The following is a 21,201-nucleotide window of genomic DNA, read 5'->3' as shown; positions in this document are numbered from 1 at the left end:
ACCCTGGGCTCCAGCCCTGCCCCAGCTTGTTGGACTAACTCTGGTGCCCTGCAGGTCGGCTCCCAGTGGGCCTCCCCGGAGAACCCCTGCCTCATCAATGAGTGTGTCCGAGTGAAGGAGGAGGTCTTTATACAACAAAGGAACGTCTCCTGCCCCCAGCTGGAGGTCCCTGTCTGCCCCTCGGGCTTTCAGCTGAGCTGTAAGACCTCAGCGTGCTGCCCAAGCTGTCGCTGTGGTAAGGCATGCAGGCTGGGGCTGGGCTGGACCGGGCACCACCTTTAAGCCTCTCTTTCCACTTTTGGCTCCTGAATTCTTTGCCTTTTTAGCAACTTAGGGAAATGGATAGGACCGAAATCTTCCCATCTGCTCCTACTGCTTTTATGAGAAAGCAAATTAAATGGGAAAACCATAGGAATTTCCTGAAGATCACTACATGGCAAGACTGGGATTCGGCCCTAGGCTTCTCTGATTTGGAGACCACCTTTGAAATGCTGTGACGTTTCACCCAGGGGAAGGCGTTCAACTTGCCACCCCAACGCTGCCAACAAACAGAAAAATGGCAACAACAACAAAAACTAGTTCTTTCTACCATATCCTGCTCTGAATTTTATTTATTTGTTTGTTTGTTTGTTTGAGGCAGATTCTCACTCTGGAGTGACTGGCGCTATCTCTGGATAGGCTAGAGTGCAGTGGCACTATTTTGGCTCACTGCAACCTTGGCCTCCTGGGTTCAAGCACTTTTCCTGCCTCAGCCTCCAAGTAGCTGGGATTACAGGCGTGCGCCACCACACTCGGCTAATTTTTGTATTTCTAGTAGAGATGTGGTTTTGCTATGTTGGCTGGGCTGGTCTTGAACTCCTGACCTCAAGTGATCTGCCCACCTCGGCCTCCCAGAGTGCTGGGATTACAGGCATGAGCCACTGTGCCTGGCCACTGAATTCTTGAAACTGAAATTTTCAAGAGTAGCGTTTCATTGTTTCATAAACCCAAACATCCTCCCATTCATCCCATCTCTTAAATGTAAATTCACATAAGCAAGCGCTGTCACTTGGAGAACGTACGGGGCTCTTCTCATTGTGGGCTGCATGGGGAAGGGAGGCCGCTGTGGGCTCCAGCAGTAGGACCCCCAGCGCTGGGTTGTGGGGTGGGGGGAAAGGGCCGACCGATACAGGAGGGAGGCCCAGACACGGAGGAGGAGCCCCAAAGAGAGCAGCCTGCTCGCCGGTCTCACCAGGGTGTGTTTTGCCCACTCTCACTCTGCACTTTTCTCTCCCCCAGAGCGCATGGAGGCCTGCATGCTCAATGGCACTGTCATTGGGGTGAGCCGCTGTCCTCTTCTCCAGAGCAAGTGGTGGGGACAGGGAAGGGGGTACTGTGGGAAGGGGAGCAGGCAAGTCATTGTAAAGCAGAAATGAAGGAAACCAGAGAGACCCAACCCCAGCTTTCCACTGCCTGTGGGACGTGCCTGGCATCATGGAGCCCAGGCTAGGACCATCTTCCTGACTCTCCGGGCCTGTCTCACACTCACTTCCTGGCCCCCACCTCAGGCACCTGTGCATTTCTTCTGTGTGCAGAGAAGCACTCTGAAGTCATTGTGCACGTTTTAGTTTGTCCCCTCTGCCACTACCTGGGCTGCCTCTTTGGCATGAAAGTTCTCACTCTTACCATCTTGATACTGGAGGTGGGAGGACGGGAAGGCAGTGGGCCATAGGAGACAGGAGGAGCAGCAGAGCGATGGCTCATGGGAGCTATGGGTGGGTGGGCAGGAGACAGGGTATGAGAGTGAGGTGAGTGGGGGGTTGGGGGATGCTGGGGGGCCTGACCCTGGTGCCTCTGCTTCCAGCCCGGGAAGACTGTGATGATCGATGTGTGCACGACCTGCCGCTGCATGGTGCAGGTGGGGGTCATCTCTGGATTCAAGCTGGAGTGCAGGAAGACCACCTGCAACCCCTGCCCCCTGGTAAGAGAGGCTCAATGGGGACCGAGGGCATGGACTGGACGCGTGTGGGACCCAGGCAGTGGGACCTCACTGCGGTCTTTAAATAAATAAATCTCTCATTATTTTCTGATTATAAACAATAATTGACAATAATAAAGAAGAGACTAAAAATCACCCACCCAAACTGCATGCCTCAGAAATAATTATAATTTTAGTTTTATAAGTTGCAAACATTTTCTTCCTGAGTTTTCAGAATAAACACAGTATTTGCCAGGCTTATGATACTATGTTTACAATTCTGTATCCCTTTATGTATTTTAAGAAACAGCACCACCGTTCTTTGAAAATATTAAAAATTAGTCAACAAATATTTATCAGACACCTCCTATGTGCAAGGCTCTACACAACATTCCTTTGAATGGATGTGCCTCGTGTATACAACCAAGCTATTATTGCGGGACATTTGGATGGTTTCAAATATTTCACCCTGTTTTTGCCAGGCCATGCTGACGATGCTTGTTCTGAATACTTCCTTGAGGTGGTTCTGAGAGGTGGACTCCTCGTTCCTAGTTTGGGAGATGAAACTGGCATTCCGTGGGTTTCAGCTGTGACTTTTAGTAACACCTCACTGGGAAGTTTTGAGCCCATGGCGGCAGGGCAGGGCCTGCAAGCTCAGGAGGGGCCTTGGCTTCTTCCTCAAGCTCCCTTCTGGATGTGGGGCTTCTGCTGTTTTAGAAAATGCCATTGGTCAGAGGAGTCTCTTGTGAGCTAGATGCATGAACTATGGCGATGGCTTTCTCAGAGGGTACAGGGAAGTGCTTGTCTCCCTCAGCTCGGTGAGACAGTCGGGGCTGCAGCAAGGTGGAGAGGAGCCTCTTATAAGCAGGCAGCACAGTGGCCAGAGGGGAGGGGGTGGGGGCCAAGAGGTCGTGCAGGTGCGTTTTACACTGTTGAGGACAAGGGACAGGTAGATGTTCTACATCTGTGTTCTTCATGGCAATTAGAGGTATCATGCTCAAAGTATGGGCTTAATAAAAGAAGTATGGAGCGGATGGGTCTGTAGGAGACACAGCTGTTTCTGAGAGAATGATTCAGAGAGAGCATTCCTTAATTAGGAAGAAGGTAAGTATGTGGTTTTCCTTTTGCTTATTTTTTAAAAATCCCAGTTGATGTTTTAGGATTTGGGGCCCAGTTGTGTGCACACGTGTGTGTGTGCGTGTGTGTGTGTGTATTGTGTAACAACCCTCCTAGAACACATCTGGGCTTCCATATGGAACGAAACAATGCTGCCTGGAGTCGTGTGGCATCCCTTTTTCCTGGGATGTCCACTGAAGTCCAATCAGGGCAGTCAGGAGACAGCAGGCCGCCCACCTCAATGCCAGCCTGTGGAGACGGCACTGCAGCCTGCTCTCTGGAGGGCAGGCCCGCTCACTCCCTGCAGTGCCCTCTGGTGTTCAGAGGGAGCCACAGCCGCTTCCTCCGTATCTGGAGAAATCCACCTTTAGAATCCAGTCTCAGATGTAGGTTTCCAAATACTCAAAAATCCATGGCCCCATTTGGCCTGTGTATTCTTCTTCTTTTTCTCCAGAATTCTGGTATCTCCCAGGGGAGTGCAAGCCACCTCCTCTCTCTTGAGATCCCTTAGATTCGCCCTCCCTCTATGCATCTCTCAAGCCTTGCTGAATCCGGCCTCTGCTGATCCCGTTCTAGCTCAGCGTCCTCCGCTAGTCTTACTACGTCTTCTGCCACGAAGGGTCTCTGGGACACCTCCTGGGTTGGGGGTAGCTGTGGTGAATTAGGTCTAGGTAGGTCGGCTTGAACTGCCCACGTTGGGCTGAAGTGCCAGTGTTGCCCGAGATGTGAGTCTTCCGTTGCCTCCCAGGGAAGCCAGTGCTCTTACCTAAAGGGAGAGCAGCAGGAGGCAGTTTGTGCTGACAAGTGGTTGAGATGAGGCTTGACAGCTGACTGCTCAAAGAAAGCATGAGGAAGAGAGGTCACTCTGCTGTGGAACCCTGGAAAGGCGTCCCGGAGGAGGGCAACCCTGAGTGGACCTTGAGCAATGAATGGGTTGAATGTCGAATAGACCTTCCAGGGAAGGGCATGGTGAATGAATAACCGGCAGCCAGAAGCCGGGGTGAGAAAAGGGAAACACGGGGAGATGGATGGAAGGGCTGCGAGCCGTCGATGAAATACATGGAAAGGGGCCCTGAGGGGTGTGCAAGGCAGTTTTAGGAGGACAACTGTGTGAGGAAAGCAGGACTAATTGGCTGCTCAGACCTAAACAAGTGAACTCTGGGGCTGGCTGGGAACTTGCTCAGCAGGAGGAGGAAGAGGCTGCTCCTGAGAAGGATGTTTCCTGCGGTGATCAAATGTTCTGGGGAAAACCCAAAGGGCAGCTCTGCCCTCCCCTTGAACGGGGAAATGTGGAACACATACCCCCAGCCAGCAGCAGCCAGGAAATCCAGCAGTGCCCAAACAAGTCCTGTCCATCGTGTGCAGCTGTGGTCTGGCCCTGCCGGGTAGGAGACATGCTGCAGAGCAGGCTGTTCCCTCCATTCACTTCCATGCTCTCTCCTCCCTCCCTTGCTTCTTCCAAGCCCCTGCCACACCCTTAACACTGTTGCCCCCTTCGGCTTATTTTCTGCCTCCTTTCCCTTTTCTTCCAAATCTTTCTTCTCGCATAACTGCCCTCCACCTTTCCTTTTCTTGGCCTAACTTTGCCCTCTGCCTCCTGCTGTGGGGATTTTGCCTCCCTGACTGCCCTGTCCTCACTGGCTTTTCCTTCTGCCTGCTCCTGAAGACACGCCAAGTTCATGGCTTGATTTATGAGAGCAAATGGTTTAAATTAATCTCTGAGCAAGCTTACTGACTCCTAACCTTGACCTTGGGACAGGTCGTCTGTCTGGGTGCTCCAAATTGACTTGGTGATTCATAATAGAAAAGCCTCAGGACCCCAATGAATGGATCTCTGAATGGTGATCACTAAATGTGGCAAAATGAGAAAAAGAATGACAACAGAGTTGGTTTCTCACAAAGCTAAATTGATTCTTTAAAAAATTCTGGGATTATGTGATTACGTTCTTTCTGTTTTTTGGGGGTACGAAGGTGGAAAGGGTCAAAAGAACTATAATTTGTTTTTCTTCTGAAAGCAAAGCTAATAATTTTTAGGGAATGATGAGACAGTAGATGGTAGCTTGGTAGCTTTTTGTATGTATGTATGCATGTATGTATGCATGTATGTATGTATGTATGTATGCATGTATGTATGTATGTATGTATGTATGTATTTTTAGACAGAGTCTCTCTCTGTCGCCCAGGCTGGAGTGCAGTGGTGAGATCTCGGCTCACTGCAAGCCCCGCCTCCCAGGTTCACGCCATTCTCCTGCCTCAGCCTCCTGAGTAGCTGGGACTACAGGCGCCCACCGCCATGCCCAGCTAATTTTTTTCTTTTTTTTGTATTTTTAGTAGAGACGGGGTTTCACCGTGTTAACCAGAATGGTCTCAATCTCCTGACCTCGTGATCTGCCCACCTTGGCCTCCCAAAGTGCTGGGATTACAGGCGTGAGCCACTGCGCCTGGCTGCTTTTTGGTTTTTATTTTATTAAAATTGTTTAAAACACTCTTACTTTGCAAAATAAAAAGTTGCCAGCCCTGTTTTTCTCCCAGTCCTGTGTCTCGAAGCTGCTTCTTTGTCCGATGCAGATATAAATAAGGCGCTCTTACCTTATGCCGCTTCAACAAGTCCCTAGCTGCGCTGAGCTATGATTGCACCACTTGCCCTCCAGCCTGGGTGACAGAGCGAGACCTTGTCTCAAAAACGAAACAAAACAAACAGGAAAACAAGTTCCTAGCTGAACTTACCTCCTCTGTGAGTGTAGGGGTGCCAAGTAGGGGCCAGATGCTGGGGATACAAGAGAACAGCAGAGACACAATTTGCAACTTACCATGCTTCTCAGGGAGAAGTTTTTTCCAGCATTCTATGGGAGTTCCAGTTACTTCCTCACCAATGCTTGGTATTGTCATGCTTTTCAATTTTAGCCATTGTGAAGTGATATCTTCTAGCATTTTTTCCTTACTGCTTCTCTAATTTCAGAATCTTCTAGTATTTTAAATTTGCATTTCTCTGTTGGCTAATGATGTGGAGCATCTTACATACTTATTGGCCATATCATCTTTTGTGATGTGTTTGTTCAAGCTTTTGGCCATTTTTAAATTGGGTTGTTTGCCCTTTAATGATTGATTATGAGTTTTTTTCTGTATTTTGGATACTAGTCCTTTATAAGGTATCTAATGAAATATTTTCTTTCAGCCAGTGGCTCAGCTTTTATTTTTCTTAATTGTGTCTTTTGAAGATCAGAAGTTTAATTTCGATAAAATTCAGTTTATAGATGTTTTTCTTTTATGGTTAGTGCTTTTTATGTCCTGTTTAAGAAGTTTTTGTCCATTCTAAGGTCATGAAGATAGTATCCTATGTTTTCTTTTAGAAGCATTATAGTTTAGTTTTACTTTTAGGTCTATGATCCATGAGGAATAAATTTTAAATGTGGTATAAAGTAGGGGTCTCCCATGTGGCTATCCAGTGGGTCCAGCACCATTTGTTGAAAGATGATCCTTTCCTCATTAAATTATGTCGGTGCCTTTGTAAAAAATGAATTGCTGGCCGGGCGTGCTGGCTCACGCCTGTAATCCCAGCACTTTGGGAGGCTGAGGCAGGTGGATCACCAGGTCAAGAGATCAAGACCATCGTGGCTAACATGGTGAAACCCCTTCTCTACTAAAAATACAAAAATTAGCTGGGGGTGGTGGCAGGTGCCTGTAATCCCAGCTACTCAGGAGGCTGAGGCAGGAGAATCACTTGAACACTTGAACCCAGGGGGCAGAGGTTGCAGTGAGCCGAGATTGTACCACTGCACTCCAGCCTGGTGACAGAGCGAGACTCTGTCTCAAAAAAAAAAAAAAAAAAAAAAAGAATTGCCTGTGTATGTATGGACCAATCGCTAGGCTCCTTTTTTTCTGATCCTTTGTCTATCCTTATGGTCTCACCACTGTCTTGATTACTGTAACTTTATGGTTAGCCTTGAAATTAGATAATTTAAGTTTTTCAACTTTGCTGTTTTTCAAGATTGTTTTGGGTATTTAATGTCCTTTCAATTTCTATATAAATTTAGAGTCATCCTGTTAATTTTTATTAAAAAAATGTTTAAAGTGTGCCGGATTATATTGAATCTATAGGTTAATCTGGAGAGAAGGGATGTCTAGACAAGGTTGAGTTTTTCAATTTATGAACATAGTATATCTCTTCGATTATTTAGGTCTTGCTCTCAGTCTGTGCTGCTGTAACACAATACCTGAGACTGGGTAATTTGTAAAGAACAGAAATTAATTTTTTCACTGTTCTGGAGGTTCAAGATTGAGGTACCAGCAGATTTGATGTCTGATGATGGCCTGTTCCTCATAGGCAGTGCTTTCTCATGGCATCCACATGTGGCAGAAGGTGGAAAGGCAAAAGGCACTAGGGCATTCCCTTTGACTTTTTTTTTTTTTAAATAACAGCACAAATTCACTCAGGAGAGTGGAGCCCTCATGACTTAAATCACTTAGGCCCCATCTCTTAATATCATCAGTTGGGAGTTTAAATCCCAACATAGGAATTTTGTAGGGACACACACATTCACATCTTAGCAGTCTCCTTTAATTTTTCTCTGCAATGATTTTTTTTGTGTAGATGCACAAATTTTGTTACACTTATTACCTAGTATTTAAAGTTTTTGGACGATATTGCAAATGGAAGTTTTTTTTAAATTTTATGTTTTGTTTGTTGCTTTTATAAAATCAGTTTTTATATTTTGATCTTGTATTCTTCAGCCTTGCTAAATTCACTTATTAGTTGTAGTAATAGTGTTTTTTTTTTTTTTTTGAGGGGGCAGATTCCTAAGGATTTTCTTCATAAGCAGTTATGACACCTTCAAATAAAGACAGCTTTTACTTCTTCCTTTGAAATCTTTATACATTCTGTTTTGTTTTTCTTGTTATCAAACTGGCTAATATAATCAGTACAATATTGAATAGAACTGATGGGAATATTTTCTTTCTGATCTTAGAGGGAATTAATTCATTAAGTATGATATAGTTGTGTGTTCAACAGCAGCAGTGCCCAACCTTTTTGGCACCAGGGACCAGTTTCGTGGAAGACAGTTTTTCCATCGACTAGGGTCAGGGGGATTGTTTTGGGATGAGTCAGATGCATTATGTTTATTATGCACCTTATTTCTATTATTATTGTATTGTAATATATAATGAAATAATTATATAACTCCCATAAGGTAGAATCAGTGGGAGCCCTGAGCTTGTTTTCCTGCAGCTAGATAGTCCCATCTAGGGGCGATGGGAGACAGTGACAGATCATCAGGCATTAGATTCCCATAAGGAGCACGCAACCTGGATCCCTCACATGTGCAGTTCACGGTAGGGTTTGGGCTCCTGTGAGAATCTAATGCTGGCTGCTGATCTGACAGGAGGCAGAGCTCAGTTGGTAATGTGAGTGATGGGGAGTGGCTGTAGATACAGATGAAGCTTCACTCATTGGCCCACTGCTCACCTCCTGCTGTGCAGCCCAGTTCCTAACAGGCCACTGACCGGACTGGTACTGGGGCCCCCTGTCCTATAGCATATTGAAGAAGTTCTCATCTATTTTTTTAGTGCTGAGAGTTTCTACAATGAATTGGTTTAAATTTTGTCAGACAGTTTTGCTGTATATTTTAAGATGACCATATGGTTCCCCCTTAATTCTGTTAACATGAGGAATTGCATGGATTGATTTCAAATGGTGAGCCAACCTTTCATTCGTTTGATGAATCCCCTTTCTTCATGACGTGTTATCCTGTTTCACATCCAGTGCTAGATCTATTTGCTCATATTTTGTTAAAGATTTTAATGTTTATGTTAAGAGTGTTAGGTTTCTAATTTTCTTCTCTTTAATGCTTTTGTTAGATTTTGATGTCAGGGTTATGCTAGATCCAACAAAATATGGTGGTGTTTTCTAAAGAGCTTATATAAAATTGGTATTATTTCTTCCTAAAATGTTTGGCAGATTTCATCAGTGAAGCTTACTAGACTTGAAGCTTTTCATGTGGAAAAGATTTATATATAAAATTCAACTTTTAAAATAAAAAAACGGATTTTCTATTTCTTCTTGAATTAGTTTGGTAAATCAGTTTTTCATGGAACTTATCCGTGTATTTAAGTTGGTCAAATTTAGTTACACAAAGTTGTTTATAACATTTCCTTATTATACTTTTAATATCTGTGGAATCTGTAGTTGTAAACCTTCTATTATTTCTAATATTGATAATTTGTTTCTTTTTATTTTCTTGATTAATCTAGCTAGAGATTTTCTTATTTTGACTAATTTGTCTATTATATATTAATTATTATTATATTATATATTATTATATTATTAATCTTTCAAAGATCCAACTTTTGCCTTTGTTGTTTTACTTTTTATATTTTTCTTTTCTATTTTATTGATTTCTGCCCTTATTTTTATTATGTCTTGTCATTTAATGACTGGGTCTAATTTGCTCTTCTTTTACTAGCATCTTAATATGGAAGCTTAGCTCATGATTTTCTAATACAAAATTTAAAATATAAATTTTCCTTCAAGAACTGTTTTTGCTGTACTCCTCAGATTTTGATATATTGTTTTTTATTACCGCTAGTTAAAAATATTTATTTTTTGATCCATGGGTTATTTAAAAGTATTTTATTTAATTTCCAAATATGGTGGTGTGTTTTTCAATACTTTATTGTTGCTAATTTCAATATAATTTCATTATATTGAAATTGGTCATAGAATATAATCTCTAAGATTTCAAAATCTTGACATTTATTTACTTTTTTATCCAGTCTCTGTTTATCCATGTTTACATTTTTATGGCCCACAATTTGGTCTGTCTTTGTGAATATTCTGTGTGCATTTGAGAAGAATGTATGCTCTGCAGTTCTGGAATGTAATAGTTTATTATTTCCAACTAGGTCATATTGGTTCTTACAGTTTTCCAAATCCTCTATATCTTCATTTGTCTTTTTCCTACTTGTTTTTATCAATTACTGAGAGAACATAAAAATCACTGACTAAGATTGTGGATTAGCCTATTTCTCCCTTTAGTTCTATCCATTTTTGCTTCATATATTATGAAGTTCTGTAGATGCATCCCTCTTAAGCATTCTTATGTCTTGATGAATCTATTCTTTTGTCATTATCAAATAACCTCCTTTATTTTTTATTTATTTATTTTTTGAGATAGGATCTCACTGTGTCGCCCAGGCCTGGAGTGAAGTGGCACAATCATGGCTCACTACAGCCTTGGCCTCCTAGGCTCAGGTGATTCTCCCACCTCAGCCTCCCACCTAGCTGAGACTAGAGGTGTGTGCCACCATGTCCAACTAATTTTTGTGGAGATGGAGTTTTGCTATGTTGCCCAGGCTGGTCATGAATTCCTGGGCTCAAGCGATCCTCCCACCTCAGCCTCCCAAAATGCTGGGATTACAGGTGTGAGCCACCGCACCCAGCCACCTCCTTTATTTTTGGTAACATTCCTCATCTTAGGCTGTCTCTAGTCCTATCTAAGCTTGGCAACAATGGACCAAGATAACAAACTAAGAATTACAGTCAGTTATTCACTCATTCAACATATATGGTATCTACTATCATTTATCCAAGCAGAGGGATCAAATTAGTGAAAGAAAACAGGTAAAAATCCTTTCCCTGCTTCCCCTAAGTGAAGAGTAATCTTTTATGTTTATTTATTTATTTTTTGAGACAGGGTCTCACTCTGTCTTCCAGGCTGGAGTGCAGCGGTATGATCATGGCTCATTGCAGCCTTGACTTCCTGGGCTCAGGTGATCCTCCCATCTCAGCCTTCCAGGTAGCTGAGACTACAGTTGTGCACCACCATGCCTAACTGATTTTTTGTATTTTTTGTAGAGATGGGGTTTTGCCATGTTTCACAGGCTGGTCACAAACTCTTGGGCTCAAGCGATCTTCCTATCTGGGCTTCCCAAAGTGCTGATATTACGGGCATGAAGCCACCTCACTGGCCTTGTTTGGTATTAATACACCTATATCAACTTTCTTATTTTGACTAATTTGTCTATTACATCTTTCTTCTCAACCTATCTATCTAAATTAAAAGTGCGTCTCTTGAAAACAACATACTAATTGAATTTTGCTTTTTAAAATCTAAAGGTGACAATCTCCATTTAATGTAATTATTGATATGGTTGGGGTTAAAGCTATTCTTCTGTTATTCATTTTATCTGCTGTCTTCTTTGTTACTTGTTCTGTTGTTAATTCTTTTTTGTCTTTTGGTTCAACTGAGTTTTTCTTTTTTTTCTTTTTTTTAGTACTATATCTCTTTATTGGCCTTTTCACTGTATTTCTTCATATTACTATTTTAGTGGTTGCTCTAGACTTATCACAGTACACTTTGATTGAATAATATAACATTTCATGTACAACGTACTTTTTCCATAATTTGTACATTTGTTGTCATACAGTTTACTTCTACATAAGAAGAGAGAAATTCCACAAGGTATTGCTATTATTTTTGCTTTAAACAGTCATTTGTCTTATATGGAATTTAAAAAGTGAACTGAAAGTGGTGATTTATATTTACCTACATATTTATAATTTTCAGTGCTCTTCCTTCTTATATATCTGAATTTCCATATTATATCATTTCCCTTCAGCCTAAAGAACTTCTTTTAGTGCAGGGCTGGATGACAACACATTTCTAAGATTTCATTTATCTGAAAATGTCTCTATTCTGCCTTCATTTACTGAATATAGAATTCTAGGTTGACGGGTTTGTTTTTAAATTTCATCACTTTAAGTATGTTTCTTAGTCTTTGGCTTGTGTTATTTCTGATGACCAGTCAGCCGCCATTTTTATTGTTGTTTTCCTGTATGCATTTCCCCCCTTCTATTGGATGCTTTAACAGTTTTTCTTTAGTTTTCAGAAGCTTGAGTATATGCTTTTGTGTAATTTTCTTCCTACCTTTTCTATTTTGGATTCATAGTTTCCTGGATTTGTGGGTTGATTTTCTGATCAAATTGAGAAAAATTTCAGTTATTATTTCCTTAATTTTTTTCTGTTTCATTTTGTTTTACTGTCTTTCTGAAACTCTAATTACACGTACATTCACGTGTTGCTTAACAATGGGGATATGTTCTAAGAAATGCATCGTTAGGTGATTTTTGTTGTGCAAAGATCGTGGAGTGCACATACGCAAATCCAGATGGTATGGTCTACTATACAACTAGGTTATGTGGTATAACCTGTTACTCCCAGGTGACAAACCTGTATGGCATGTTACTGTGCTGAATACTGTAGGCAACTGTAACACAATGATTAGCATTTGTATATCTAAACACATGTAAACATAGAAAAGGTACAGTAAAAAATATATAAAGGATAAAAATGACATACTGTATAGGGCACTTACCAAGAATGGAGCTTATAGGACTGGAAGTTGCTCTTGGTGAGTCAGAGAGTGAGTGGTGGGTCAATGCGAAGACCTAGGACATTGCTATAGTCTATAAACATTGTACACTTAGGCTACCCTAAATTTACTACAAAATATTTTTCTTTCTTCAATAATAAATTAACTTTAGCTCACTGTAACTTTTTTACTTATAAAGTTTTAAAATTTTAAAAGCTTTTTGATTCTTGTAATAACACTTAGCTTAAAACACAAACACATTGTACAGCTGTACAAAAATATTTTTTCTTTATATCCTCATTCTAAAAGCTTTTTCCTATTTTTGAAATTTTTAATTTGTTTAACTTCTTTTTTTTTTTTTTCGAGACAGGGTCTCATTCGTCACCCAGGCTGGAGTGCAGAGGCATTATCATAGCTCATTGCAGCTTAAACTCCTGGGATCAACTGATCCTCCTGCCTCAGCCTCCCAAACAGGTGGAACTATAGGCATTTTTTTATCTTTAAACTTTTTTGTTAAAAATGAAAACTCAGCACGCACAGTAGTCTAGGCCTACGCAGGGCTGGAATAATCAATATCAGTCTTCTGCCTCCACATCTTGTTCCACTGGAAAGTCTTCAGGGGAAATAACACTCATGGAGATGTCGTCTTCTGTGATAACAATGCCTTCTTCTGGAATACTCCTGCAGGACCTACCCGAGGCTGTTTTACAGTTAACTTTTTATATTTTTAATAAGTAGAAGGAGTATCTCTAAAGTATTCATAAACCAGTAACATACATTATCATCAAGTACATAATTGCATGTGCTATACTTTTACATGACTGGCAGCACAGTAGGTTTGTTTACACCTGCATCACCACAAACATGGGAGTAATGTGTTGTGCTATGAAGTCACCAGGTGATAGGAATTTTTCTGTTCCATTATAATTTTATGGGACTGTTGTCATACATGCAGTCTGTTGTTGACTGAAACATTGTTTTTTGGCCCATGACTGTTTATTATTAAACCATTGATACTGTTCCACTGGTCCCTGGGGCTCCCTATTTATATTTTTTACATCTTTATTCCTCTCTATGCTTCAGTTTGGGTAATTTCTATTGATCTGTCTTAAAATTCAAGGATCTTTTCTTTTCTTGTGTCCTGTCTGCAGTTAATCCAATCCAGTGAGTTTTTGATTTAGAGTATTGTGTTTTCTAGTTCTAAGATTTCCATTTGATTTTTTTCCTAAAGTTTCCAGATTGTTCCTAAAATTCCCTGTCTATTTTTCCATTATATCTGTCATTTCCTCTAGACTCTTTAACATATTTATCATAGTTATTTTAAAGTTCCTGCCTGCTACACTAGTCACAATAGCAAAGACTTGGAACCAACCCATATGTCCAACAATGATAGACTGGATTAAGAAAATGTGGCACATATACACCATGGAATACTATGCAGCCATAAAAAATGATGAGTTCTTGTCCTTTGTAGGGACATGGATGAAACTGGAAATCATCATTCTCAGTAAACTATCGCAAGGACAAAAAACCAAACACCGCATGTTCTCACTCATAGATGGGAATTGAACAATGAGAACACATGGACACAGGAAGGGGAACATCACACTCTGGGGACTGGTGTGGGGTGGGGGGAGTGGGGAGGGATAGCATTAGGAGATATACGTAATGCTAAATGACGAGTTAATGGGTGCAGCACACCAGCATGGCACATGTATACATACGTAACTAACCTGCACATTGTGCACATGTACCCTAAAACTTAAAGTATAATAAAAAAAAAATTCCTGCCTGCTAATTGCAATACTGGGGCCATTTCTGTGTCTGTTTATATTAAGTGATAATTCTCTTGGTATAGATCAAATTTTTCTATTTCTTTGCATGAAATTTTTTTTTACTGTGTATTAGACATTGGTGGAAGATATGTTGAAGAGACTCTTAATTCTGTTGTTTCTTTATAATAAAGGTTAAGTTTGGTTCTAGAATGTGGTTAGATTATTGGTGGTTCATTTTGAACTATAGAAGTCTTGATTTTTAAACTACATTAGGGAAGGTCTATTTCAGCATTTTTCTTAGCCCTAGGCTGAATATTTTAGTCCTGAGACACAGTGTTTACTGTGAAGGCTTGTCCCTTATGAAGTTCCAGTAGAAACCCAGGTGTTTACCCAGCCCCTCCAACTCGTTAGAATTCAGACAGCAAACTCTCTCCCGTGTGGTGTGTGGTAACTGAAATTTCTGCTCAGGTGTTTGAGCTTTCCAGCTGTCGTTTTGTCTCTGGGCTCCTTGTAGGCTCTCCTATAGATGTATAATTAAGGGATCAACCAAAGAGTTCAGAGGAGTTTATTTGCAGATTTAGGGGCTTCTTGTTTCTGACTTCCTCTTTTCTGACATTTTCCCTTTAGTTTCCAGCTATTCTAGCAGTTCCAAACTGTCTGCTGAGTCCTCAGGCAGATACAACTACAGTTTTCTGCTTGAGTTCTGGCTGTCCAGTGCCATACAGACGGCCCTCATGGGAAAAGCCATTTAAACATGAATCTTGTCCATTATGGTTCCTTTTTTCAAGGATCAAATAATCTAGACTTTATTCTTGATTTTGGTCTTCTTCCAGTGCTTTTGAACAGTTGGCTTTAAATATTTCGTTAATTGTTTATAATCATCATCTGCAGGAAGGTTAGTCCAATACAAGCCACTGTGCCGTAACTACAGCCAGAACCTCATCAAAAGTTTCTAAGCTGAGGAGTCACAAGAGTAGACGTAGGCTTTAAGAAGGTCATTCTGGCAGATGTGTGGTAACCTGTAGCAGGGGAGCAAGAATGAAGGTAGGAAGACAAAATAAGACTATTACCAGAGTCCCTGGTAGATGATGGTTATTTAGACTCAATGATGAAAGAGGAGACTGGTCATGACAAGCAATGGATGAGTTTGAGATACATTTTTGGCAAGATTTGGTGATAAGCAGGGGATGAGAAAAAAGGGGAAGTCAAGGATAACTCTCAGATTTCTTGTTTGAAAGACTGGGTGATTAACGCCACTTACCAAAATAGGGAATACCAGAGAAAGATGAGATTTGGGACAAAAATCAAATTTCCTTTTGGATGCAAGTCTCAAGATGACAATAGAATAATTGTCCAGTAAACAATTGAATTTGTAAGTCTGAAGCTCAGGGAAAAGGTCTCATTTAATAGGACTGGCTGCTACAACTTGAGTGAGATGTGCACATGCAGAGTGAAGGAATGCTACCTAGGGGACTGAGAACTGACAAAAGCTGGTTGGAGTTGGATGTTGACTTTCCGAATTCTAGGTGAAACTACTGGATGAGAGAGATGAGAGGCCAGCAAAATCAGCCTACTTACAATTGGGATGTTTTAAGGAGGTTAACTATGGCTGCTTTTTCCCCCTCTGGATGCAGGGTTACAAGGAAGAAAATAACACAGGTGAATGTTGTGGGAGATGTTTGCCTACGGCTTGCACCATTCAGCTAAGAGGAGGACAGATCATGACACTGAAGGTAGGAGCAAGCTGAATGCAGGGCTCCCTCACATATCACCATCTTGCTTCCTTTTTTGGAAATTTTTCTTCAAGGAAGAGGGGCTAAGTTTGGTTCAGTATTGGCTTCTTTTTCTATTTCTTTCTGATTATATAAAGAAAAGATAGATGACTTATTGCAGGCACAGAATTTTCTCTTTTATTTAGTTATTTTGTTGCTCTTCTTGACAAGAGTGTACTTGGTGTAGGGCCTCACAATTTGGAGTTGATTGATCTTTTTTTTTTCTTTCTTGAGATGGAGTCTTGCTCTGTTGCCAGGCTGGAGTGCAATGTCACGATCTCGGCTCACTGCAACCTCCGCCTCCTGGGTTCAAGCGATTTCCCTGTCTCAGCCTCCCGAGTAGCTGGGACTGCAGGCACGTGCCACCACACCCAGCTAATTTTTGTAGTTTTAGTAGAGATGGGATTTCATCATGTTGGCCAGGATGGTCTCGATCTCTTGACCTCGTGATCCGCCCACCTCGGCCTCCCAAAGTGCTGGGATTACAGGTGTGAGCCACCGTGCCTGGCCTGGAGGTGGTTGATCTTTAAGATTTTCTCTACCCTTGGGCGTCTGTAAGACTGGACAGGCCATCAGCGTGAAACAAACTCTGGTCTATGAAGTCCGGACTAGCTGGTGGGGCTGGGAGGTAGTTCCCTTCGTTCATCTCTAGTTCAGTTATCAGCTAGCCAGTTTACTGTTGCTATATCTCAATCCTTCAAGCATTTAACTGGTCGGAAGAGTCTACATAGCAGCCCTGTTCATAGGATACAAGCTGTAAAACTGGGACTCCACTTCTGGTCTGTGTTCTGGGTGTGGGGGCTTTATTATACACTGTCTTCTTGTTTCATGGTTCTGCAGATTGTTTCGTCATCTCCATGGAGTCAAGCTCATGGTTTGAAGTGGCTTTGTGAACCAAACACTGTCTCTGACTTTACCCACTCCTCTTTCCTTCCAGCGTGATGAGACGCTCCAGGATGGCTGTGATACTCACTTCTGCAAGGTCAATGAGAGAGGAGAGTACTTCTGGGAGAAGAGGGTCACAGGCTGCCCACCCTTTGATGAACACAAGTGTCTGGCTGAGGGAGTGAGTACTCATTCTGCTTTCCTCTTTACTGTCTCAATCTCTAAGAACAAGATTCTTCTGAATAGTGTGCATCCCAGCTCCGGCATAATTTCTCAGTGTCTGAGGCACATCTCTGGCCTAGTTGAAGAATCAGTGAGATTACGAAATCAAAGCCTACGGAGAGATAAAATTCTCTGCAATATAGGATGTTTTAAAAAAATATTTTCCTTAAGGGAGGCTGAGTGTGTGATTCTTGAATAAAATGTGAGATCAAACTGATTTTTAGTCTCCCTGGGAATGAAGATCCTGATGACTCAACTGGAAGAGAATTCAGAATCATCAAAATTGTTTCAGCCTGGTCAGGTAGGGTGGTCAAGCTGCTCACATTTATGATAGGAAAGCATAGTTTACATCTGGGCACTTAAGCACAGGGCTGTGAGTTCGGAGCTAAAAATTGGCCCGGAGTGACCTGAAAGCTGTCTACTCTGTACTGTTTGTGCCTAACCTGAAATTTTGCTGTTTTCTTAGGGTAAAATTATGAAAATTCCAGGCACCTGCTGTGACACATGTGAGTGCGTTACTAATATCTTGTCCCTTGAAACCCATCAGAGCAAGTCCAGGGGCTCTTTGCAGCTTGCTCCTTGAAACCCATTAGCAAGCCGCATGACTGTTCTTTGGAGTAAGCTTTATTTCAGAAAGATATTTCGTGACCACTGGTCAGTCATTATGTTCAGTCTTGCAGGGAGCAGCCTCCCCTCCTTGGATGTCATCAGACTGCCCTCTTGAACTCCCTTTTAGATCCCATGGAGCAATCTCTTTCCCCTTTTCCTGCAAACTCCCTCCTGTCTCCAGCTTCTTATGTGCCTTTTCCCTCATAGGATCTTTGATTGCTCATAGTCCTATCCTGGGACGATATGTTCCCTCTCTAACCAAAGCTTCTTGAAGACAGGCACCTTGGATCTATGATCCTGACAGAGTAGACTCTCAACACATATCTATTCATGAGTGTGCTAAAGCTATCTCAAAGAGAAAGCGAAGCCACCAGCTGGCTGACAACAGCCCACATGTGCTGTGGGGGCTGGTCTAAGTTTATCACCCCCTCTTCTTCACTCTGAGCTCCTCTTTACCTCGTAGTTATGTCCTACTGATTGGTTCTCATTGCTCACAGCAGCAGCTTTGGAGACGAGACACAAATCTGCACATCAGACAGTGTTCTTCCCATACATGCTTGTGTTTGTGAGCACAAATAACTTTCAGGATCCCAATGCTAATGCCATAATTTCTGAATATAGAATTACTTGCCTGGACTAAGATTTTTTGTTTTAGATTAGGGTATTTCTTTTCTGCCCTGGGTTCACAGGTCCATGCTTGTTTACAGATAGAGAAAGGAAGAGTGAAAACATGAATACTTTCAGTGTTCAATCATTCATTCTTGACAGCCCCTGCAATTGCTGTAACCAAATCTCAGATCGAGGAAGCACTCTGAAAGCATGTCTTTCTATGATTCCCATTTGAATGGTTTAAGAATGTGAAGTCAGGAAACCATCAGAGAAGAAGAATTCTCTCTAGGCACACTGCACGTGGAATTTGATTAGGAGACTGTTACCTACAAAACCACCACAAAGGGTCTTTGTTGGTCAACTCATTCAAGAGGCTTCGAGATCTTTAATAAGGACAATAAGCCAGGCTCAGGGCCTTAAATCCACAGCAACATAGTATAGTATGCTGGTCTAAATGTTTTTTTTTTTTAATTCATCCTCTTAATGTAATTGGCAGGCTTTCCCTTTACAATGAAATTATCTAGAAATTAGGAGGCAGACTAATATGTAGTTAGGGTTGATTTAGATTTCGAGCCATCTAAGGACAGAAAACTCCCAGTGTTCAGACTGGAATGGTGAGCTGGGATTAAATTTTTGAATTCCCAGTGGGCCAAGTAGAGATTCAGATCTGAATGCCACTAACCCCTGTGTGAAAGGAAACCCCCATGTCAGCAACCTGGAGTCAGCAGTACCCGAAGAGAGGCCTTCACAAAGGTGCCTAGGGATCTTCTCGGTCCCCAGAGAGGCAGGGTATGCCCTTACATCACCATGACTTCGCCTTTCCTCTTACCCCAAGGCAGGAATGAAGAGATAGTAATTATACTTATTGACTACTTCATTGCCCATTAGCTTCTGAATGTAGTTACAAGCACAAGAGGGTTGCTTTAGCCATGTGGTTTTTAGAGTCTACAATGATACAAAGGCAAGTCTTCCTCATTTTACATCACCATAGCACAGTGAATTTAGGCTCTTCCTGCAATTAAAATTGTACCATTAAGTGAGTTAAGTCCAGCAATAACTATATCTCTGCATATTTCGGGCCAGGAACAGCTGAGGTGAACCAGGATAACTGAATTCCCTCCCTGTGGCTGGCTTTATTTGGTTACTGTGAAAGGGACCTATTTCCAGCCCAGTGAGGGCACTGGGGCTGAAGAGTGTTCTCTAGAACCCCAGCCAGTCCTCAAGTTTCATCTCTCACCTGTCCTGTAGGTGAGGAGCCTGAGTGCAACGACATCACTGCCAGGCTGCAGTATGTCAAGGTGGGAAGCTGTAAGTCTGAAGTAGAGGTGGATATCCACTACTGCCAGGTAAGGGCTCTGCTTCAATAAGGGCTGGGTGTGGAGGGCTGAGCCTCCGTGTTCGGATACCTATCCTTAGTTACATTCTAGAAGGATCTGGAAAATTCGCAGGGAAGAGAAGGGAAATAAACTGGAAGCATTTTTTTTTAAGCAAATGTTTTATTGAAGTAACTGGAAATTTTTGACTCCAGGAAAAAAACAAAAATGGAGGAAAGACTCAGCAAATCCTTTACAGAAAATGGAGAGTTATTTATGCAAGATGGGGGCCACAATTCTTGAAGATCAGTCAAACATATATAAAATTTTCCTGCATAAAACATGCATAATCAGGCATAAAACATTTTATGCATTAACATGCATAAAAATTGCAGCTAGAGGGGTGTGGGTATGATATTATTACCATAGAGAAGAGGACATGTCAGACCTATGATCTTCCTTTACAAATTGCCTAGCTGTCCTGGGTGCTTCTGGGTGAGATCAGACCTGCCTTGCTTGGAGGGGGTCAGGGAGAAAGCAGGCTGCCCCAGAGCCCTGCCTAAGCCAGGACTTCCCACCATTGTGAAGCTCCCATCTTCCTCTGCTTTCTTGCAGGGCAAATGTGCCAGCAAAGCCATGTACTCCATTGACATCAACGATGTGCAGGACCAGTGCTCCTGCTGCTCTCCGACACGGACGGAGCCCATGCAGGTGGCCCTGCACTGCACCAATGGCTCTGTTGTGTACCATGAGGTTCTCAATGCCATGGAGTGCAAATGCTCCCCCAGGAAGTGCAGCAAGTGAGGCTGCTGCAGCTGCATGGGTGCCTGCTGCTGCCTGCCTTGGCCTGATGGCCAGGCCAGAGTGCTGCCAGTCCTCTGCATGTTCTGCTCTTGTGCCCTTCTGAGCCCACAATAAAGGCTGAGCTCTTATCTTGCAAAAGGCTGCTGGTGCACTGTGTCGTAGGGCTGAGATGGCAACGGTGGGCAGGGGCTGAGTTCTGAGACCGGTTCTGAGGAAGGAAGCACAGGCCCCATCTGCAAGCCTCAGTGTCAGTGTGAGATACTGCCAACTTCTGGGGAAGAGTGATGTCTTTGCCTCCAGGGGTGGGAAAGGCATAGCATGGGGTAGGCCTCTTCTGAAACTCAGCACAAAGTAAAAGGGATTTTCCCAGCAACACTGGATTCTCCAGTCTCTGAATGGAGGGGCTTCTGAACATAGCAGAGGGGTGGGTCCTGGAGCCAGGCTCCTGCTGAGATAGATACTATTGTTGTCACATGGCTGGCAGTGTGGAGAAGGTGTCTGACCAGGTGTGCAAGGATTTCTCTGAGCCCGTGGCTCACAGGGTTCCTGTGTACCCATAGTGGCCCCTGTGGGAGGGAGAGGTGCTGACGACTGATGGGGACCTGGAAACAGGGTGCTGGCAGGTGCAGTAGTGTGGTCACCCAACTCAGCCTGAGGCCATGAGCCCCAGATTTGGAGGCAGACCTGGGCTCCACACATGGCCCTCGCTCAGCTGTGTGGCCTCAAACAAGCCCCTTGGTGGTTCTCAGACTCAGTTTCCTCATCTGGAA

At 42.7% G+C, this 21,201-nt stretch overlaps 1 protein-coding gene across 2 annotated transcripts in view, besides 2 other annotated features; it reads left to right on the top strand.

Annotated features, from left to right (window-relative positions):
- The window catches only part of VWF (von Willebrand factor), a 175,794-nt gene extending 155,225 nt beyond the window's left edge, over nt 1–20,569 (top strand). For both annotated transcript variants that reach the window (NM_000552.5, XM_047429501.1), the window contains exons 45-52: nt 55–235; nt 1,279–1,319; nt 1,844–1,960; nt 15,852–15,950; nt 16,927–17,055; nt 17,563–17,602; nt 19,563–19,660; nt 20,243–20,569. In NM_000552.5, the coding sequence (NP_000543.3) occupies nt 55–235; nt 1,279–1,319; nt 1,844–1,960; nt 15,852–15,950; nt 16,927–17,055; nt 17,563–17,602; nt 19,563–19,660; nt 20,243–20,431 (894 nt within the window). In that variant the 3' untranslated portion in view covers nt 20,432–20,569. The remainder of the gene's footprint in view (nt 1–54; nt 236–1,278; nt 1,320–1,843; nt 1,961–15,851; nt 15,951–16,926; nt 17,056–17,562; nt 17,603–19,562; nt 19,661–20,242) is intronic.
- Nucleotides 1,152–1,653: an enhancer, noted in NCBI's record as "H3K4me1 hESC enhancer chr12:6076959-6077460 (GRCh37/hg19 assembly coordinates)". NCBI's record gives its function as "activates a minimal SCP1, AML or CMV promoter by ChIP-STARR-seq in naive H9 embryonic stem cells {active_cell/tissue: H9 hESC(naive)}" and the evidence as "EXISTENCE:reporter gene assay evidence [ECO:0000049][PMID:30033119]".
- Nucleotides 3,259–3,445: a silencer, noted in NCBI's record as "fragment chr12:6075167-6075353 (GRCh37/hg19 assembly coordinates)". NCBI's record gives its function as "represses an EF-1alpha promoter that drives an FKBP-Casp9 reporter gene in an ReSE screen in phorbol 12-myristate 13-acetate-treated (for megakaryocytic differentiation) K562 erythroleukemia cells {active_cell/tissue: K562(+PMA)}" and the evidence as "EXISTENCE:reporter gene assay evidence [ECO:0000049][PMID:32094911]".

The sequence above is a fragment of the Homo sapiens genome, chromosome 12 (genome assembly GCF_000001405.40).
Source record: "Homo sapiens chromosome 12, GRCh38.p14 Primary Assembly".
NCBI lineage: Eukaryota > Metazoa > Chordata > Mammalia > Primates > Hominidae > Homo > Homo sapiens.
This window is presented reverse-complemented; position numbering and strand designations above follow the sequence as displayed.